This window comes from Homo sapiens, chromosome 20 (genome assembly GCF_000001405.40).
Source record: "Homo sapiens chromosome 20, GRCh38.p14 Primary Assembly".
NCBI classification, from domain to species: Eukaryota; Metazoa; Chordata; class Mammalia; order Primates; family Hominidae; genus Homo; species Homo sapiens.
The window spans coordinates 19,641,308-19,660,673 of NC_000020.11; the positions used below are offsets into that span (position 1 = coordinate 19,641,308).

The 19,366-nt window shown below is 42.9% G+C and overlaps 1 protein-coding gene across 1 annotated transcript in view; it reads left to right on the forward strand.

Annotated features, from left to right (window-relative positions):
* SLC24A3 (solute carrier family 24 member 3) overlaps positions 1-19,366 on the forward strand; it is a 510,285-nt gene that overhangs the window by 428,666 nt on the left and 62,253 nt on the right. Inside the window, exon 7 of the mRNA NM_020689.4 lies at positions 12,755-12,829. Coding sequence (NP_065740.2) covers positions 12,755-12,829 — 75 coding nt within the window. The remainder of the gene's footprint in view (positions 1-12,754; positions 12,830-19,366) is intronic.

Sequence of the window (19,366 nt, forward strand, 5' to 3'; positions counted from 1 at the left end):
GATTTCAGCCCCAAGCCTCTGAGTCTTCCCAGCTATAAAATTAAACCCAGCAATTCCACACATCTTGTTTTATGCTGATGGGACTCTCAAAGTAAATTTTTATTATAAATATAAAAGGGATATTAAAACAGATCTGCTGTATAAGCAGAGATGGATAGCAGCGCTGCTGGTGTGTGGACTCTGAGATAATCCTGAAGCATGTACAAAATGCGCTGTGACTTCTCGAAATCTCATCCACACGGATGGGGCTTTCTTCACTGTTGTGTGGGACTGGGGAGTGCTAGGGTATTTCTCATTTTTTATTGTCTCACATCTATTAGCCTCATGGGGTGCAGCAGGAGGGAGCAGTGGTCTCAGTCCCTATCTCATGTTAGAATTACTGGGGGGTATTTTTAAAACCCCAGTGGCTGGGCCACAGCACAGCTCAGCTAAATCAGAATCTCTAGGGGTGGGACCCAGGCATGAGTATTTCATAAAGCTTCTAGGTGATTCCAATGTACAGCCAAAGTTGAAAACCAGGGCCTCCCTGAAAGAGTTTGATTCAGAAGGTCTGGGGTAGGTGGGCCCGGGAATCTGTACTTAACAAAGACACCCAGGTCATTCTTACAATGATGTAAGTTAGGGTCTTACCTCAACAAGGGACTAACCATGTGCACTCTGCAGTAAGTCAGACCTGGCTCAAAACGTAGTCCTATCACTTTCAAACTATGATCCTCACTAAGCCTTAGTTTTCTCATCTGTGAAATGGGAATATTAAAAGTTTGTAAGAAAAAAAAGGCATGTAAAGTGCTGAGCACAGTGTTTGACACTTAAGAACCAATTGTTAAATGTTGGCTCTTGCAGGGAGAGGCTTCAGCACAGGCCATGACCTCCTGGAAAACAAGAGGTTCCTGACAGCCCCATATCATTCAGAGGGGTCTGTTCTTCCCTAGGAATGAGATAAGATTCTATAGCTATTTGCAAATGTTCACTGTTCCTTATGTATATATGCACACAGTAATCTTTTCATTCCGAAATCTTAGGATCTTCTCATACGTTTTTGCACGGATTCTTACACATTGCTGAGCATCTGTTATGGATAAATATTATCATTCCAGGTGGAAAACTGAAATGAGGAAGTGCATAGGCAGCACTCTTGATCACACAGTACCTGAAGGGTGAAGGTGAAGAGTAGCTCAGGCTTCCAGGCCCCACACACACCCTAAAATGTGGAGGAAAATGAAGGAGGTGAGGCTGCACATGGAACCCATTCTCCCTTGTCTCAGCCTTCTCTGCACAATATAAGCACATATTTTTATCACTGTACTTCCTAGGCTGCAAATTGATTACCTTTCTGATCCTGTGAACAGCTAAGGTGCTAACTACACTCTGCTGAGATGGTCTTCATTTGCAAGCTGAAAATCCACATAAATACTTTGATAACATAACCTCCCCCTATGTTTTTGACTAAAAAATATTCAGCTCCTTAAGGAAGGGTTCTTTGTTGGCTGGTTGACTTATTGGCTGCCTTAGTCACCCAATTCTCTCAGCTCTCTTCTTTATTGTCCAACACAGATCAAACCTAGATGTGTTATTGATGTGGTACTTTGTTTTAATTCTCAATTTCTTTAATGCAGGGGGGAAATATCTTCCAAGCACACATTAAAGAAATGTCCTTGTGTTCGATTTGCCCTGGCTGCAGAATTGATTCATGAGTGTCACCTGCTTTCCCTACCCTGAGTCACAGAAATTACTTAAAATAGATCGTCTGAAGATCAGTTGGGGCCAGATCAGCCACACAGTCATAGCAATCAGTATCCTTGAGTATAAAAATATCACTGTTCACTCCTAAGAGAAGACGGTGGCCGGCATCTGCACCTGAGGGGGACAGGTGCTTCTCTTCCAACCTAGAGTGCACACCAAATATGCAGAAGGGTTTTATTTGGGGGGTTGGGAGGAGTCACCCACATTTTTAAACGCATGCTCCATTTTAAGCCAGATTAGCTCCTGATACTGTGAAAGTCCCCTTCATTGCCAAACACCAGGTAGAAATCTTAATTTTAAAAGCACAATCAACTATTCTTCTTCGTTGTTAATTGATGAAACCAGAAAACCTTGGATCCTTCCCGATATGAACCAGAAATTTCCAAATCCATGTCCAAGCCTGCGAATTGAAAAACAGCTGGCTCTTCTGTCTTTCTATCCTCTTTGTTTTAGCATTTTAATTTTTAGAGAGATGAGAGAAATGGAGCATCTGTCCCCTGTGATTCTATTACTGGCTCTCCTAACACCATGAAAAATATCAGCTTCTGCATTCTGATAATATTATAGACATCAAATGCCAGTGTAATAATGTATGTAATTTTAGGCAGGGTCTTACTTCCAAAGCTTAAACTCAGATGCATAGTCTTAACTGTCTGATTTCTGAACTCACCTGGTAGGTATTCACTTCCATTTTTGTCAGCACTTCAAATGTAATGTTGAGTGAACTCCACACTATTTTGGAGACCAAGTACTATGATGGTATATTCAGGTCAGGACACCAAAAGTGTTCCTCAAGTTAGAGATTGCTCTTAGGTTTTGTAATTCATAAAACAAGGAAATATTTGCTCCCTACATAGCTCTAGCTACTAATGTGACAGGTATACATTTTAAAATAAATTCAGCTCCACTCTGGTTTGGACTTCTTTATACCGTGGAAGGAATAGGAGAGCTTGGGGGGAGCAGGAATTTTCTAACATGGTTCTATCCATTATACAAAAGGGTGATTTCCCCCAGCATCTTAAACAGGGTTGCTGCTCAAAATAGATGAAGTATGAAGCCCCAAACAAGTGGTGCTTCTAACTTGCAGCTTCAGCCCACGCACAGAGTCACTAGGTGTCCCAAAGGTCCCAGATGACTCTCTGTGCCTGCTGCATCGCGTCCAGATCCCACTTCTCACGGGGAGGGCCGTGGACCTCCTCCCCAGCCTCTCACTCTTTGCATTTCCAGTTTCATGGGTGTGACTCAGACCCTGAATTCTCTGTCCTCTAAGCCAGCAGGACTCACACTACAATAAACCCTTGAGTCACCTGGGCACCTCGGCAGCATACAGGTTCTGATGCAGCAGGTCTGGAGGGAGGTCTGAGAGTTGCTTTTCTAACCAGCTCCCCGGCGATGCTGATACCACTGTCCCCGTGTCTTTGGGGATAAACAGCAGGAGGCACACACTTAGCTGTGGGGAGATTGTCTGTTCAGTCCTCACAGAAATGACTCCAGTTCTGCACTCATCAGTCTGAGATGACAGAATGAATATTGTGAGCCACTTTAATTCTTCCTGCAAAACTGTAAATATAGCCAAATTTCTCTCTATGATAATGAATTAAACAAATAGCACTCTTAATCAAAATCTACAGATAACCCCAAACAGTGTTTTTGCCATTAGTTTAACCTCCTCCACCTGAATTCTTATCAATATAGCCAGAATGGGCTGAGAGCCCATTTCCTCCTGCCCCCTTCTCCAGGGGAAAATTAGATGACCAAATGCCAAGAACTGAAAAGGAGTAGAACCTCAGGGCTTCCAACTCTGAAAACTAGATTAGGGAGTGGGTGAGCATAAATGAGAAAAAAAAATACATCTTTATTTTCACTAAGCACTTTTATCTAGCATTTGGTCTTATTATACATGAAGCAACAACCATAGCCACATGAGCTGTATCTGTGATGTCGTCTCCGATAGAAATGTGAGCAATTGCGTGCTGGATTACAGTCACCGCAGTTATCTCAGAGCTCTTCTCATTCATCACTACTTCAGAGTGAATGGCTAACTCTTCTTATAATAAAGAAATTTACTGGCTCTTGTTAATAAGGAAACACATATATTAATGAATCTCTATTTTTCAATGTTTTGATGACTAGATTTCAATAAATCAGTTTCCTAGTGATTCTATTATTTATTGTATGCCTTTTAACACACTATTCTGCAAAGGGATCCACAGAGTGTCAGGGGCGCATAGCACAGAAAATGTTTAAGAACCCCAGAGCATCATGTCAAATGTTGAAGAGATGGCAACTGATTGTGTTCAGCATTGTTGATGCTAATTAATATAATTATTTTAGATCAGGGATCACAGATGCATATTCCTGCAAGGCTCAGCTATATAGAATAAATAAGTGGAGTGGTTGGGTCTAAGGACAATCCTAGCAGAAAGAGAGTAGTATATGGCATCTGACTCTTGGCCTTAGGAGTTGGGGGCAATGAAGAGGTGGGCGATCCATGCAAGCAGATGAATGCACATCCCATCTATACAGGGCACCGCTGAGCGGCTCCACAGTGACACAAGTTGCCTGGTCTTCAGATTTTTCCAAGAGAAACCAAAAGTCTTGATGTTGTGGACATCCCCCCTAAAAAAAAATGCAATGTACACTTTAGCAACTATTTCAACTAACAAGAAACAAAGAAAAAATTCTAATCAGGCCAAACAACCAAAATAAAACAGGGGCTCAGGCCGAGCACAGTGGCTCACCCCCGTAATCCCAGCACTGTGAGAGGCCAAAGCAGATGGATTGCTTGAGCCCAGGAGTTCCAGATCAGCCTGGGCAACATGCAAAAACTCCATCTCTACTAAAAATACAAAAAATCAGCCCAGCGTGGTGGCATGTGCCTATAATCTCAGCTACCTGGGAGACTGAGATGGGAGGATCACCTGAGCTTGGGAAGTCGAGGCTGCAGTGAGCCAAGATTGCACCACTGCACTCCAGCCTGGGCAACGAGAGTAAGGCCCTGTCTCAAAAAACAAGAAATATATAGTGGTTAATATCCAGCATAAGATAAATAGGCAACATAGAACAGGTTCAACTTGCCCTTTGTCCTAAAAATATTTAGTCCAAAATCACTAAACTTCCAATCTTGTGCTTATCCAAAGAAAGTCAAAATAGTTATTTTAATGAACACCCAAAATCTAATAAGTATGGTTACTAGGTTTATCAAACAAAAATACAGTATATCACATTAAATTTTAATTTTAGATAAGCAACTATACTATTTTTAGTATACTGTATGTCCCATGTGATATTTGAGATATGCTTATCTCAAATATCCAAGATAATTTTTATTTGTATTAAAAAATGACTTGGTGTTTTCTTGAAATTCTGATTTCACTGGGCTTCCTGTATCTTATCTGGCAACTTTTATAATAAGCCAACCCCACATTGTGATGGAGTAATTACTATTAAAATTAATGTGTAATGTTAACAACGATAACAGTTAACATTGTAATTGCATTTGTGCTTTGTTTGAATAGCGTTTTTATTGAAGCACCACATACACTTAGGAAAGTGCACCTGTCCTAATCCAGCTCCATGGCATTTCACAAAGTGGGCACACGTGGTAGCCAGCACCCTGATCAAGAGGGAGAACAGTCATGGCCTCTGAGAGCCCCTCATGGCCTCTTTCAGACACTAGCCTTACCTCCAGGGGAACACTACTCCTGATTTAAAATGGCATGAATTAGTGGTGCCTGCTTTTGAGTCTTATACAAATGTGATCGGGTTGTACTTTAAAAATTACAAAACTCTGTGTGTGTGCGTGTGTGTGTGTGTGTGTTTATGCTTTCTCTGAATATTGGATTACTGTGTAAATCCACATTTTTGGTTAGACAGTCCTCATGCCCCACCCGTGGCTTTTCACCCTTACCAGTTCAGTTCCCACTGGCCTGACTGCCAACAGCCAAAACCTGCATTTCTTTGTCTGGGAGCTCCTCTTGGTCACAAAAGCCCACATTTTCTGCCCTTGGGGTAGGAGGTGCCAGAGAATTTACACTCCTAGGTGCAGCTCTCAACCAATGACCGATGGAAGTGGGTGGATTAATACCCCAGCTCCCTCTCCTCTCAGAGGCATGTTCCATCCACATGGTCCCCCAGAGATCCCCACTAGGATGGAGTCCCAGTTGCCCACTGCCATGACTTGGTTATTATCTTCCTTCCACCGCCTGCCTCACTTCCCCACTCTCCTAACAATTATCCTAGAATCACCTCCCAAGATAAACTATTTGCACTCAAATCTGGGTCTGTTTCTGGGTGAATCCAAGCTAATATATTTGGTTAAATTAAATTACCCTAAATGTCCTACATTTATTCAACAAATTTGTATCAAGTACCTAGTACTGCCAAATGCTGTGCCGGGTGCTGGCACATCAATGCCTGGCAGTGAATGCAGATATCCTTACACCTGGTACCCAGAGTGGGCGAAGGGAGCCAGGGGCACTGCAGGGAACAGCCCTGTGGCCTCAAGTCCAGCATTTTCTTCCCTACAGCAGAGCTGACTCCCTGTGAATTCTGATGTGTGGGGGAACACTCTGAACTACCAAATTTTGAAGGCCTAGCAGGCAATAACTTACACTTAACATGAAAACTGCACATAATTTTGTGGATGATTGAGAAGGCATGTCTGAGTCCTGAGGCATCTCCAGGTCATTATGAGCATCCGTGGTTATTGTTCAGCAAGATCAATGAAGAGCACTCAAGAGATTATTCTATGTCTGCACTGTCCTGATATGGCCTTGTTTTTATTTAAATCTGTCTCCACTAGAAGCTTGTTTATTTGTCATTTGTTTTTCTCACACAAAACTAGAACTCAAAATGAGTTTTCTTTAAAAAATTAGATTTAAAATGTGAATTTATTTTGTGTTCCTGGTTGGGAAGATTAATAAGCAGCAGTTCACTGTATTTTGCAAAAGCGTGTAATTGTCTTTTTACATAGCCCAATTATTACTGTCCATTTTCGATAGTGAACTTCTAGAAAACAGGAGCCATTTGTATTTCAGTGATTTTTCCCGGCATAGAAGTTTTTTAAAAGTGTACTTCATGAGCAGACAGTAGTACTGAGACTGCCCTGTGGGAGGAAAAACCCACATCAGGCCTGTCTGAACTTCAGCACCACTTGGTGTCCTCAGATGGTTTCAGAGACACCCCAGAGCCCCATCCTCACTGCAGATCAGGTGGCTGTGTTTCCTGAGATGAGAATTGGCTGTAGAAATTGTGTCAGCTCAAAAGCTTGGAACAAAACTCATGATTTCTCAAATCCCTTTTCCATGAAATTTGTGTGAAATAACAACATTTCTCACAGACACTAACAGTTTTATGTTTTATGTTGTGTAACTATTATGTTGTTTTGTTTGCTTCAACAGTTTTTTTTTTTAAAGCAAATACTCACAAATCGAGAATATTTGTGCCTTTTTAAATGTGCCGGTAATGTCAGGTTATATTGTTCATCAAGAAAAGTTATCATAAATATTATATAATATTACAGATACGCAATCTATCTTCATATATACTATATGTATATTATCATATATAAAAATAGCTGTATATAGATTCACAATGCATATCTGTACACAGAAAATATATGGTTTTATCATAAACAATTACTTTTACCTCCTAGAGGGAGCCAGAATTCCAGAAGAGAATGTGTTGTTTTAAAAGTGTGAATTATTTTTTGCATTATGCCACTCTGAAACTAAATGAAATTATAAGAAGGAAACTGAAGCTGCATATTCAATAGAGAATGTGTGAATGCATTCCATAAATAGAAAAAGAAATATCAAGATGAAATTCCAGCTGGGTGGGATTCCTAAAGCTATAGGGGGAAAATAGAGTCTCTGGCTGAATCTGTGGAGGAGTGGATGGGCTTCTGTAATCTGCACCATCTATGTTATTGACCAGTGAGGTCAAGGACAGAATTACTCACTGTTGGTTTTCTACTGGGATCTCTAATCTGGTCTCTTAGCCAGAGTGATTTGACTTTCTTCCCTGCAATCATTTTGCAAAGGGCTACAGAAGGTGACCTGTCTTCTCATCAACCTACTGTGGCTTGGGGGACACCTGCCAACAGATGCAAAGAGCCTCCCATTTGATGCAGAGATGCTAACACGCCCCCTCTGCCAGGAAATGTGTTCAGGGCTGAGTCACATGGTTTCCGGTCTTCATCTAGAGATAAGTGATCCTTCACTGAGAGGCAAAGGGAACCACATGGAGCCCAGAAGACGAGGGTATTCATGTTTGTGAAACAGTGAAACATTCAACCACCAATGAGCTGTAGTGGTGTTTTATTTTTGTAAATTGAACTGGCCAAATGGACAGGTAGTTTCAGTGTTTATTTAACTGATTCTCTCCCTCCTAGAATATATCCATATCTAGAATATATCCCTTCCATATCTACATTCCTATCTATAGTTTTTATAGTAACTCTTTTTTTGCTTTGATCACTTACCTCGATTCTCTTGAAAGCAGTTAATTTTAAAATGTAGCTGTGGTCACTGTTTTTTGTTTTTTTTGTTTGTTTGTTTTTGTCTCTCAGCCTTCAACTATTCTCTTTTTTGGCTACAATTTCTATTATACCTGTTCTAATGGCTACAGTAGTGAGGGAGAAAGGAAAATCCCCATGGGAGGCAGTCGCAAGTGGGTGCCTGTTTTTCACCTTTGCCTGTAGTGAAGCATTGTAGTATAGTGTCTGGGAACAGGGACCCAAGGCCCAGGCTTCCTGGATTCAAATCCCAAACTCTTTCCCACTGCTGGTATTACCAACCTGGCTTAGTACTCAACTTCATCAAGATCAGGTTTCTGGGAAATGAGGGTAAGCCAAATGGTATTGGGCCTCTGCAAGGATACAGAACCCTTCTAAACCCTCTTCTTTGCAGGAAGGGTCAGATAAATATTGCTTTTGTGGTGAATGGTGGTGTCAGAAAGGTAAATCAGAGGTGGGCATGAGTTCACGATCACAGATCTCACTGTAAGTACCATAGAATTGTGAATTATTTGGGTGTATGCCTTTCTAAATTCCTTCTAGAGTGTGGAAAGAATTCTTTGGTTTGATGCCTTCTTACCTGTGCTCCAGTTTGTCACCTCTATGCAAAAAAAAAATGATTTTGCTAAGGGTAGGCTCTGAATATGCGGCTGAAATTTGATTACAATCCAGACATTGAAAACTATTCTATTTATAAAGAAGAGAAAGGATATCACTATCCACCCACATTTGACATCTAGACCTAGTGCAAGATGCATTTCTTGCAGAAGTAAAACTAAGTGGATAATTTGTGATATATTTTCCTATTTTTATTAAAGTTATATGGGCACAGAGCTTAAAGACGCAACCCACTCTAGAAAGCTTATTATGGAAAATAGCCATCTTCCAGTCCCACCATCACCATTTCCCCACTCTTCTAAGGCAACTGCTTTCCATTAGTTTGCCTGTTCCTGATATTTGCTCAACATCTCTAAATAACCTGCTTAGATGACAGCTACTTGATTTTTTCAGTTACCGGCATTCTCCATTGAATTCACAGTATAGAAGAGGAGGGTTTACGTCTCTTTTAGCCCCCCCTTCTCACTACCCAGCCCCCATCTTCCCCTAAAGAATTATAAGTTTGGTTAGACAATATTCTGCTTAGTTTATTATTACTATACAACCACTCTTCATAGTTGAGCCATTAATACACAATGGTTCATCTTCTTTGGAGCACAGTTCTGTGTTTACCTTGTGGCTTATAATTGTCTTTTTTATTGTTTGCTTGCTTAGTTTTCTATGTTCTATTCTTAGAGCTCTCCAATCTTCTTTCTGTACGTTCAAAATTATCAACTGTTTCATCAATTTTGTCCTTCTGGCAACATTTTTTCTGTAGTCTTCTGAGTCACTCCAGTCTGGCTAGGTTGTTCTCTAAGCCTGCTGTAAAAGTTTCATTTTGGAATTTCCTTTTATCATCCTTCTAAATTCTCCCTTCACTGTCATTCTAGAAATCCCCTTTAATTATCATCATAGATTCTGGTTGCTTGGTATTATGTTTTATTGTAACATAATTATATGTAACAAGTGCTTTACTCCCTTATTTTGGTGGAGTACATTCTCCAGTAGCTTTTTCAGAAAGGACACATAGGAGGCAAATTTTTTGAGACAACTAAAATTTTATTTTTATTCTTTTCTCATTTTTAATTAATAATTTGATTGGGCATAGAATTTCAATTGTTTTCCTTTCTAATTTTGAAGGCATGACTCCATTTTTTGCTAGCTTTCCATGTCTTTGTTGATTACAAAATGTCATTCTGGTTTTTATTATATATATATATATATATATATACACACATATATATATATATATATCTGCTTTCCTCTCCTCTGTCTGGTAATTTCTAGGGTCTGTTCTTTGTTCCAGTGTTCTGAAGATTTATGATTATCTGCTTTGATGTATGTCTTGTTTTGTTTATTGTGCACTCAATGAAATAAACTCAGAGGACCCTTTTGCTATGAAAATGCATGTCCGGCCAGGCGCCGTGGCTCACGCCTGTAATCCCAGCACTTTGGGAGGCCGAGGCAGGTGGATCACAAGGTCAGGAGATCGAGACCATCCTGGCTAACACGGTGAAACCCTGTCTCTACTAAAAAATACAAAAAAATTTGCCAGGCGTGGTGGTGGGCGCCTGTAGTCCCAACTACTTGGGAGGCTGAGGCAGGAGAATGGTGTGAACCTGTGAGGCAGAGCTTGCAGTGAGCCAAGATCACGCCACTGCACTCCAGCCTGGGTGACAGAGAGAGACTCCATCTCAAAAAAAAAAAAAAAAATCCATGTCCTTAACTTCTGGAATGGTTTCTGAATTATTTATTTCATCATTTCCTCCCTCTGTGTTCTCTGTTTTCTGGAACTTCAATTCTTCAAATGCTGGATCTCTTATTTTCTATTAAGGTAAAGAATGAGCATTAACTGGGCTGTATGAAGTAAGGAAGGAGGCTTGAGATTAAATTCTTAAACAGTCTTTTGATTGTTCTGTTTTCAGGCCTATCTTTATTCTAACTTTTAGAACATTCCCAATTATTCTTCTGCTTTCCAGCTTCAAAAATTTTGTTGTTCTTATCAGCTCTTCTATTCCTTTTGCATTGTGGGTTTATGTCCTGATCGAAAAAACCCTTTAGTATTATCTTGTTACGGTATAACAAGAACGGTAATGGTATGTACTCAATCTGTCGTCGTTAACTAAAAGTCCAAGTAATGTGTTAAAGAAATTCAAAATTGATATTTGCCACGTTTTAAGCCCATTTGTCTGATTATAATAAAGTGAATAAATACAACCTTTTATGACCTGCTGGAAAATGAACAATTTAGTCCAATTTAATCTATTGCATAAATGGTGAGTGATGACCACAGATTCTAAGAGTTTACAGTACTGAGAGAGAATGAAAAAAGGGTAAAGAATACTTTATATTTATTCTAACATGATTTTTCTGATGTGAATTCTCTTCTTGACAACCCTGTCATGTGTGACTTAGAAATGCAAATGCTTCACCTAATAAGGCAAAATTAGCAACAGGAAATAACTAAGTGTTCATATAGGAAGTGGGGAATGCGTTAATGGAAAGAGACTGGCCTTGTTATTCATTTATGGTCCTATTTAAGTCATGCCTTTCATGTTATTTGCATCCAGAAAACCTCTAGTTTGACTTGGTCTGATCTTTATAGACTTGCACAGCAGTCGGGGAGGGTAGAGGCTCAGGGATTGCATGTCCCTGGGGTCCCTTTTTCCCACTGTGTTTGGTGTAGCATGTGCCTGTCATTGCCACGGCTGAGAGTGTTGACTTGTGCTGTGTCTTTTTTCACTTACTACGCCAAGGGCAAAGGTAGCCAGGCAAACATCCTGTGGCCATGGGGTAGTCGATACTCCTCTAGGGAAGGGAAAGGGACTTGCCAGTGACAACCCTTGGAACAAGGTGTGTGGACTCTCCCAGACTTATTTGTAAGGTCTGCCAAAGTGGACCTACACTGTAAACAGATAAAAATACTAAATATCCCTTAATAAGAGACTTAGAAGAACTTTCCTGGGAGAAATGATTCTTTCTCCAGAACAGAAGCCTCAACCTGACACCCACAGCTCTTTCCCCTCTCCTCAAACTCTCCCGACCACCTCCAGCCCTGGCTCCTCTGCCCTTCTTTGCACCTAGCAGCCCCCTCCTCTTGCAGGGAAAGGCTGCTTTAGCCTCCAGCAATGTGCCTATCAGCTTCGTGTCAGCAGAGCCAGCATCTCTTTAAAAAGGGCTATCTCCAAATGCCAAGAACATTTTCCCCTGGATCAGTATGCAAATCAATCTTTCAAAGATTCTGATTAAACCGAGGTCAAATGCCAGCAAGGCCAGGCATATAATAGAGATGAGGGAAGAAGGTCTGGCAGAGACAGGCTTGTCCACACCCCTTCTGAAGGGCGGCAGCAGCCCAGCACATGTTGCTCACTCCACGGGGCAAGACAGGCTGTAGCAGACGCTAGACTCATGGCAAAGGCACAGGTTAGGATTGCTCCTCCTATCCCCTTGATATTAGGGATGTCAAGGCAGGCCCGTTCCTGGGGGGATGTGAGACTCCTCTGATAGGCAACTTTGCATTGAGGGTTCCCTGGGCCTCACTGCACCTTCCTCAGACTGCGTGCCAGCTAGGACAGTGCACCCAACCATCCCTGTCTCCACGGGGGTCAGACCCGCATCACAGTTGGACAGGCTGCATGCCCAGCTCCCCCGATGCCCCATTTTCTATCACCAGTTGTTTCCCGCTAACAAAATTGTTGCAGGTTTAATTGTATCTTCATGTCTGCCTCTCAGAAGATCCAGACTAATATGCCTAAATACTTGAATAAATTCCGATTGATTGGCAGATTGGGTGCAGGACAGGAGGCCTAGACAGGAAGCTGGCTAAACCTGCAAGAGTCCCGCCATCTCATTTGTACAGTCTATATCCTGTTTGACTTTGTTTCCCTTGTCCTGCAGGTTGTGGCTCTTTCCTCCTGGTGCCTGCTGAGGGATTCTATTTACTACACGCTGTCTGTGATCGCGCTCATCGTGGTGAGTCACTCTGGCCATTTCAGCTCCCATCAGTGCTCTTTTAAGCACCAGGGGTGGTGTGAGGCTCCTCCACATGGAGTTCACTCGAGGTCACCGGTGGCGAGTGCGAGATGCATGTCTTTGCTTGGAGGCAGATTTATTTCTTTCAGCTACTTTGATCACCCAGAACTCCAGCCTGACCAATTGCTGGTCAGAGCCGGCATTTAGACTTGGGTTATCTGGGTCTATGAGAGTCCATGGCTGTTCTCCTGAGACCCTCGTGAGCATGGCTCTTCTGTCGCTTCATTGGCGTCCCTAGCTTTGGACATCACTTCTCCCCCTTCTCACTCTGTATGCTCTGCCAGGACTCCCTGCCCTCCCACAGAGCCCATTACCGTGGCCACCTTTGTGCCAACACCCACACATGTCACTTAGCAGTGACACCTCCCTGAGGTCCAGTGGTGGATAAAGAACTCTCTACTAGACATCTCCATGCCCCAACTCAACATGTCCCTAAATAGAATCCTTTTTTTTTTTTTTTTTTTTTTTTGAGATAGAGTCTCACTCTGTTGCCCAGGCAGGAGTGCAGTGGAGTGATCTTGGCTCACTGCAAGCTCCGCCTCCCGGGTCCCAATGATTCTCCTGCCTCAGCCTGCCAAGTATCTGGGACTACAGGCGTGCACCACCACGGCTGGCTAATTTTTGTATTTTAGTAGAGATGGGGTTTCACCATGTTGGCCAGGTTGGTCTCAAACTCCTGACCTCAAGTGATCTGCCCGTCTCAGCCTCCCAAACTGCTGGGTTTACAGGCATGAGCCACAGCACCCAGTCCCTAAATAGACTTTTGATGTTTTCCCCAGGACTTGCCTTTCTATATATTTCAGTCCTCGTTCCTATCGTAGCCACAGACTGGGAATGAGATTAAACTGACCTTTCCCTCAACTCCCAGCATACCCATTTGGCTTAATTGTACCGTGAATTTCAGGTTACCACAATCTGTCCACTGCATTCCTCCAGAGCCCACTTCAGCTGAGGCTCTCTGCATTGCCGGCCTGACGCAGCAGCTGCTGCAGTTCATTGCGGGTCAGTGTTTCCATGCAGTGCATCTCCACCACTTACTCCCCGCTTCTCTCCACCCCAGCCAGTCCTCACGGCCATCCAAGTGGTGTCTCCATAAAGAACACCTGCAAATGCTTCTATCCCTTGTTCAACTGCTCAGTGGCTCTGTGTCATTTGTGGGGAAAAACTCATACTCTTTAGTGTGGCAAGCTGGGCTGTCCAAAAAAAAAGGGTGAAAAATTGGGAAGAACATTGAAATAGGAGTCGGGAGATCTGACTCCTAGTTCTGCTTGCCCCTTTACCATCATGGTTAATTTTATGTGTCAACTCGACTGGGCTAAGGTGTGCCCAGAGGGCTGGTGAAAGTATTTCTGGCTGTCTGTGAGAGTGCTTTTCAGAGGAGATCAGCGTTTGAATCCTAGAAGATCACCCTCCCCACGGTGAATGAGCATGATTCAATTCACTGAAGGCCCGAATAGAACAAAAAGGCAGAAGGGTGAATTTGCCCTTTCTGTTTGAGCTGGGCTATGAATCTTCTCCTGTCCTCAGACATCAGTGCTCCAGGTTCTTGGGCCTTTGGATTCAAATTGGGACCTACAGCATTGGCTTCCCTGGTTCTCAGGCCTTCGGGCTTAAACTTGCACCACACCACAGGCTTTGTAGATGGAAGGTCGTGAGACATCTCAGCCTCCATTGTACTGTGAGCCAATCCCTCACAGCAAATCTTCATTTTATATATATATATCTTTTGTTGGTTCAGTGTCTCTTAAGAGCCCTAACTAATACAGCCCTCACTGGCTCTCATGACCTGGGAGAAATCAATCTCTCTAGGTTTCAGTTTTCTTACCTACACAATAGGAATAGATCAACTAAAGGGTCTACTCACCTGTTTGACAAAGCTCCTACCAGTAGATTATTTTATTGTAAGTCTTTATACAAATAAAATGAACATGAGGGTTGACGTGAGATTTTCCCTGCGGAACCAGACAGGTACTTCAGTGACCAGCAGTTTCTGACACTGAAAATCTTGAGTTTACAAACCATCACAAGGTTTGCCAGCAAGTCAATATTCCTTTAAAATGTGCTTTCAATTTTGTCCTCCAGTGTCCCCAGATTAAAACAGGAAGGGAACTGGACCTACCATGCTCCCCTAATTCCAGGGTCCCTTTATCATTGGGAGGGTTAGAACCCACCCCACAGAGCAGAGAGGTTCATGCTGGAACTGAAGACATGCTTCTGTTAGGAGATTTAAGGACATACATGAACTATGTTCTTATTCTGTTATTACCTGTGAAAAGGGTATGATCACCTGGAACCCAAGGACTCTTCCCAGGCTTCTCTAATACCCCTTCCAGCAAGCTTCATCCTTCTATGCACAAACCCACACTGACTGTGTGCACTCTGCTCTTCTGCCATTACAGGATGTTGGGATGATTTTTGAAAAAAATTTTTTTTCAAAAGACATGGTTAGGGAACAGTGTCAATGAACACAGCCCTCTACTTTGCTGAATTCCAGAAGGAGACGACTGTGCTCATGAAGACAAGGTGGTGGAACAGAATGGAGCAGATTTGGATCTCCTGGGAGCACAGACTTAACCACACACTCCCAACAGCAGTTCTGCTGGTGTTGGCTTCTTTCCCTGTTTTCCGCATAGACACTAACTGGACTATGTGTGAAATCACTTGTCTTCTGTTCAGTGTATCTGGATATATCAAAGATAAAATGAATGTAATTGTTGTTAATGACGTGTGAATAAGTAAAGAGGTTTTGCTTCTTTGGGCTTTGAGTAACTCCCTCACCCGAGCCTGGTCTTTGGGCAAAGCAATCATCTGCCCTCAGGGTGCAGCATATAAACCCCAGAGCTGAGCTAGCTGAACACGCAGGCTGCCAGGGCAACTCCATATTTCATTCAGACAGCAACAAACCACATAAGCAAATGATTCTTTGCTGTTACCTGAAGATGTGGACTGTGTATTTACAGACCAGTTGTCAAGGCTAGAGTTTTGTGATTTGAGAAAAATTACATCTCTCCACTGTTAAGAAGAAATAGAAAAGATAAAGTTTGAGTCCTCAAGGTTAGGTCTTGGTTCTTTTTACTTTAACTGGTGTTCCTCCAACTTTAGTCTACACTGGAAACACCCAGGATGCCTATTTAGTTCAACAGGCTCTTGGGTAGGGCCTGGGAAATTGCATTTTAACCAACATCTTCCCTCACCCACAGGTGATTCTGATGCCACTAGCATCAGAGAAACTGCACCTTGAGAAACACAACTTTAAATATGGCTGGAAACCATTTCCTTGGGGTATTCATCTGTTGCATAGAAATGATAATTTCTGGAGTCAGTTTTCAGATTCCCAAAGGAAAGGAATCATAGCAGCCTAAGTAACTTTAGTTGCCTGGATTTCTGACTATTGCTAGTCTGAGTAGACTCTTAACTCTTGTTAAATGGTGGCCAAACTCCCAGGGTCATTTTTCCATGAAATTTGAAACTGTCCATGAGGAGTAAAACAGAGTTTCACACTCAAAAGTGCTGCAGTTCACAAAGTACCTCTCACAATGTCTCCATATCTATTCCATGCCCCCAGCCAGAGGCTACAGGTCGCACGCACTGTCTTTTTTCTTCTTCTCCTCTTTCTGTTTCCCCTAATATCATGGTAACAAAATCATTTTTCTTCTGATTTCCCTTAGGTAATACTAAGTTTCTCTATAGGACTCTGCAATGAGCACTTGAAATTCCTTTATTTAAAAGCCCTTCCTCGTACCCACCAAATAATTACCAACCTTCCCAAACAATGCATTCAACTCTTCGGGTTTTTTCAAACCACTCTCCCTATTATACAGCAATGAAATGTTCAGAAGGCGTGTAACTGTCGGTGTCCTGAGGTTGTGTAATAAAGAGCTCCTTCACCCAGAGGGCAAGTCAGGATTAAGCAGGACCAGATGCTGTTCTGTGTACACGCCCACCAAGGGGTTCTTCAGACCTCAGCAGAGGGGCCCTGGAGACAAACCATGGGGCCTGGAGACCCACAGAGAGGCATGGCGACTTCTCCAGAGACGCTGATGGCTGCTGAGGGGCCGAGGGTTCAGAGGAGGGTCAGGAAAGCGCCAATAGAGTCCTTAAGACCTGGATTCAAAATGGCTGAAATGTCAGCTGATGCGGGCGGGGCATGCCGAGGTGGACAACCAAAACCACAGGAGCAGGAAGCGCACGTGCATTCCGAAACCAACAGAGCTCAGAACAGTTCACTCGGACGGAGACGTGGGGCGATCCACTTCCCTATTCGGGTATTTCACCTAAACTTTCCTCTGTGCTATTTTCTAGTTTGCTTGTTTGAAGGAGAAGCAAAAGAAATGAATTCAGTCATTGTCTAAAGCAATTATAATTTCAAAAACATAAAGTGTGTGCTTCTCGGGGCCCTTCCCCAGCCCCAGTCAACTTTCTCTTAGCCCTGGTGACATTCCGTACTTTGAAACATCTGGCCAGCGGTGGAGAGGCTGGACAGGGGCTCTGAAAGCGTTGAGAAGGCTCCCCCAATGCCTTCAGTCTCTTTTTGCAAGACAGACATCACCTTTTAAATCCTGAAAGAGTTCTAGGTTCTTTAGAGCCCTTCCTTGTGCCCATTCACCCAACAGCCAGGTGCAAATTATTGCAGATTCTTCGCTGCTTCTCCTCTGCCCCCAGTGAGCACTTCAACTCTGGGTATCTCCGGCCTCCCAGTCCTGTCTTTTCTCCAAATTCCAGCAGACGGACAGTTTTTTGTATTGAAATGTTACTGTAATTTACATAATGAGGTAATTTACATAAATGCAAATGATTCATTACATAGGCAGTCTAGCAGCTGCTCTAAAAGAAATACTTTATTTTTACCTTTCGTCTCTGCTGGAGGACGGGGACTGTGAACATGGAGAGGAGGGCAGCCCTCAGGGGAAGCAGATAGGCCTATGGGACAGGTCCCAGGTAACGTGGGCCAGCTTGAAACTCCAAATTCACAAGTGCTGTCTGTCTGCTGATGGGTCAGGTGAGCCCTTGGCAGCAGTTTGGGGGTCTTCAGGGCAACCTGAACACTGGCACAGCAGCGAGGTTCCTTTACACCAACACGTCTCCTTCCTTCCCTGGGACATTCATTGTCATGGCACCGAGTGAATGGAACCCAGGGGGATATGAGAGAGTTCAGCTGATTCACCTGCCACAGGTGCCCAGCACTTCTAGCAGAATTTACATGGTGATAGAAATGGCCTACAATCTTGTGCTGTCCAATGTGGTAGCCACTAGTCACACGTGGCTACTGACAGGCAACTAGTGGGACCAAGGAACTACACTTCTTATCTTATTAATTTTAATTTTTAACAAGCATGGACTTGATCCTCAGCAGGGGACTGTGTTGGGTCTACTGATAATTACTTTTTAGTTTAATACTCGTGACTATGCAAGCAAGCTATTTTGTGAGTCCCACGTTAGAGATGGCATCACCAGGGCTCTGGTGGTTAAATGATTCACCCAAGGTCAGGGACCGGTAATACCTCGAGTTTGCCAGAGCAGGTGTCTGACATGGTGCAGCTCTACTGCCCCAATATAGAATTTGGACTTTCCCTCCAATAAAATCCTCCTCTTACAGTCTTTAAAATCATCCTACCCCACCGCCCACTCCCCCTGTTAGAGACGAGGGTTACCTTCACTTACTTTGTGGTCTAGTTTTTAGGCAGAAGGGAACAGCTCCAGCCACCCCCTGCTAGAATTTTTTCATTAAAATAACTAATCTGAAATAATCTGGAAATGATTGTATCTTGCCCTTTCTGTGATAGAGAAGAAATCTCAGAGGTCATGTGGAAGTCTGTCCATCACCGGCAGCTGGCTGACCTCCAAGGCCCTGCCCCTCTGACCCATCACCCTCCCCTCCTGCACCCATTTTTCATGGGAATTAACCTCTTCTCTCTCCAATTTAGAAACTTGGGGTTCTTATTTTTTTATTTCAATGGCTTTTGAGGTACGTGTGGTTTTTGGTTACATGGATGAATTATATAGTGGTGAAGTCTGAAATTTTAGCATTCCCTTCACCGGAGTAGTGTACATTATACCCAATATGTAGTTTTTGTATCCCTTGCCCCTCCTCCCACCCCCCCACCTTCTAAGTCTCCAAAGTCCATGCCACCACGCTGTATGCCTTTGCATACACATAGCTTAGCTCCCACTTATAAGTGAGAACATACGGTATTTGATTTTCCATTCCTGGGTTACTTCACTTAGAATAATGGCCTCCAGGTCCATCCAAGTTGCTGCAAAAGATATTGTTTCGTTTCTTTTCGTGGCTCAGTAGTATTCCATGGTGTATATAAACCATATTTTCCTTATCCACTCGTTAGCTGATGAATACTCAGGTTAGTTTCATATCTTTGCAACTGTGAATTGTGCTGTGATAAACATACTCACGCAGGTGTCTTTTTGATAGAATGATTTCTTTTCTTCGGGGTAGATACCCAGTAGTGGGATTGCTGGATT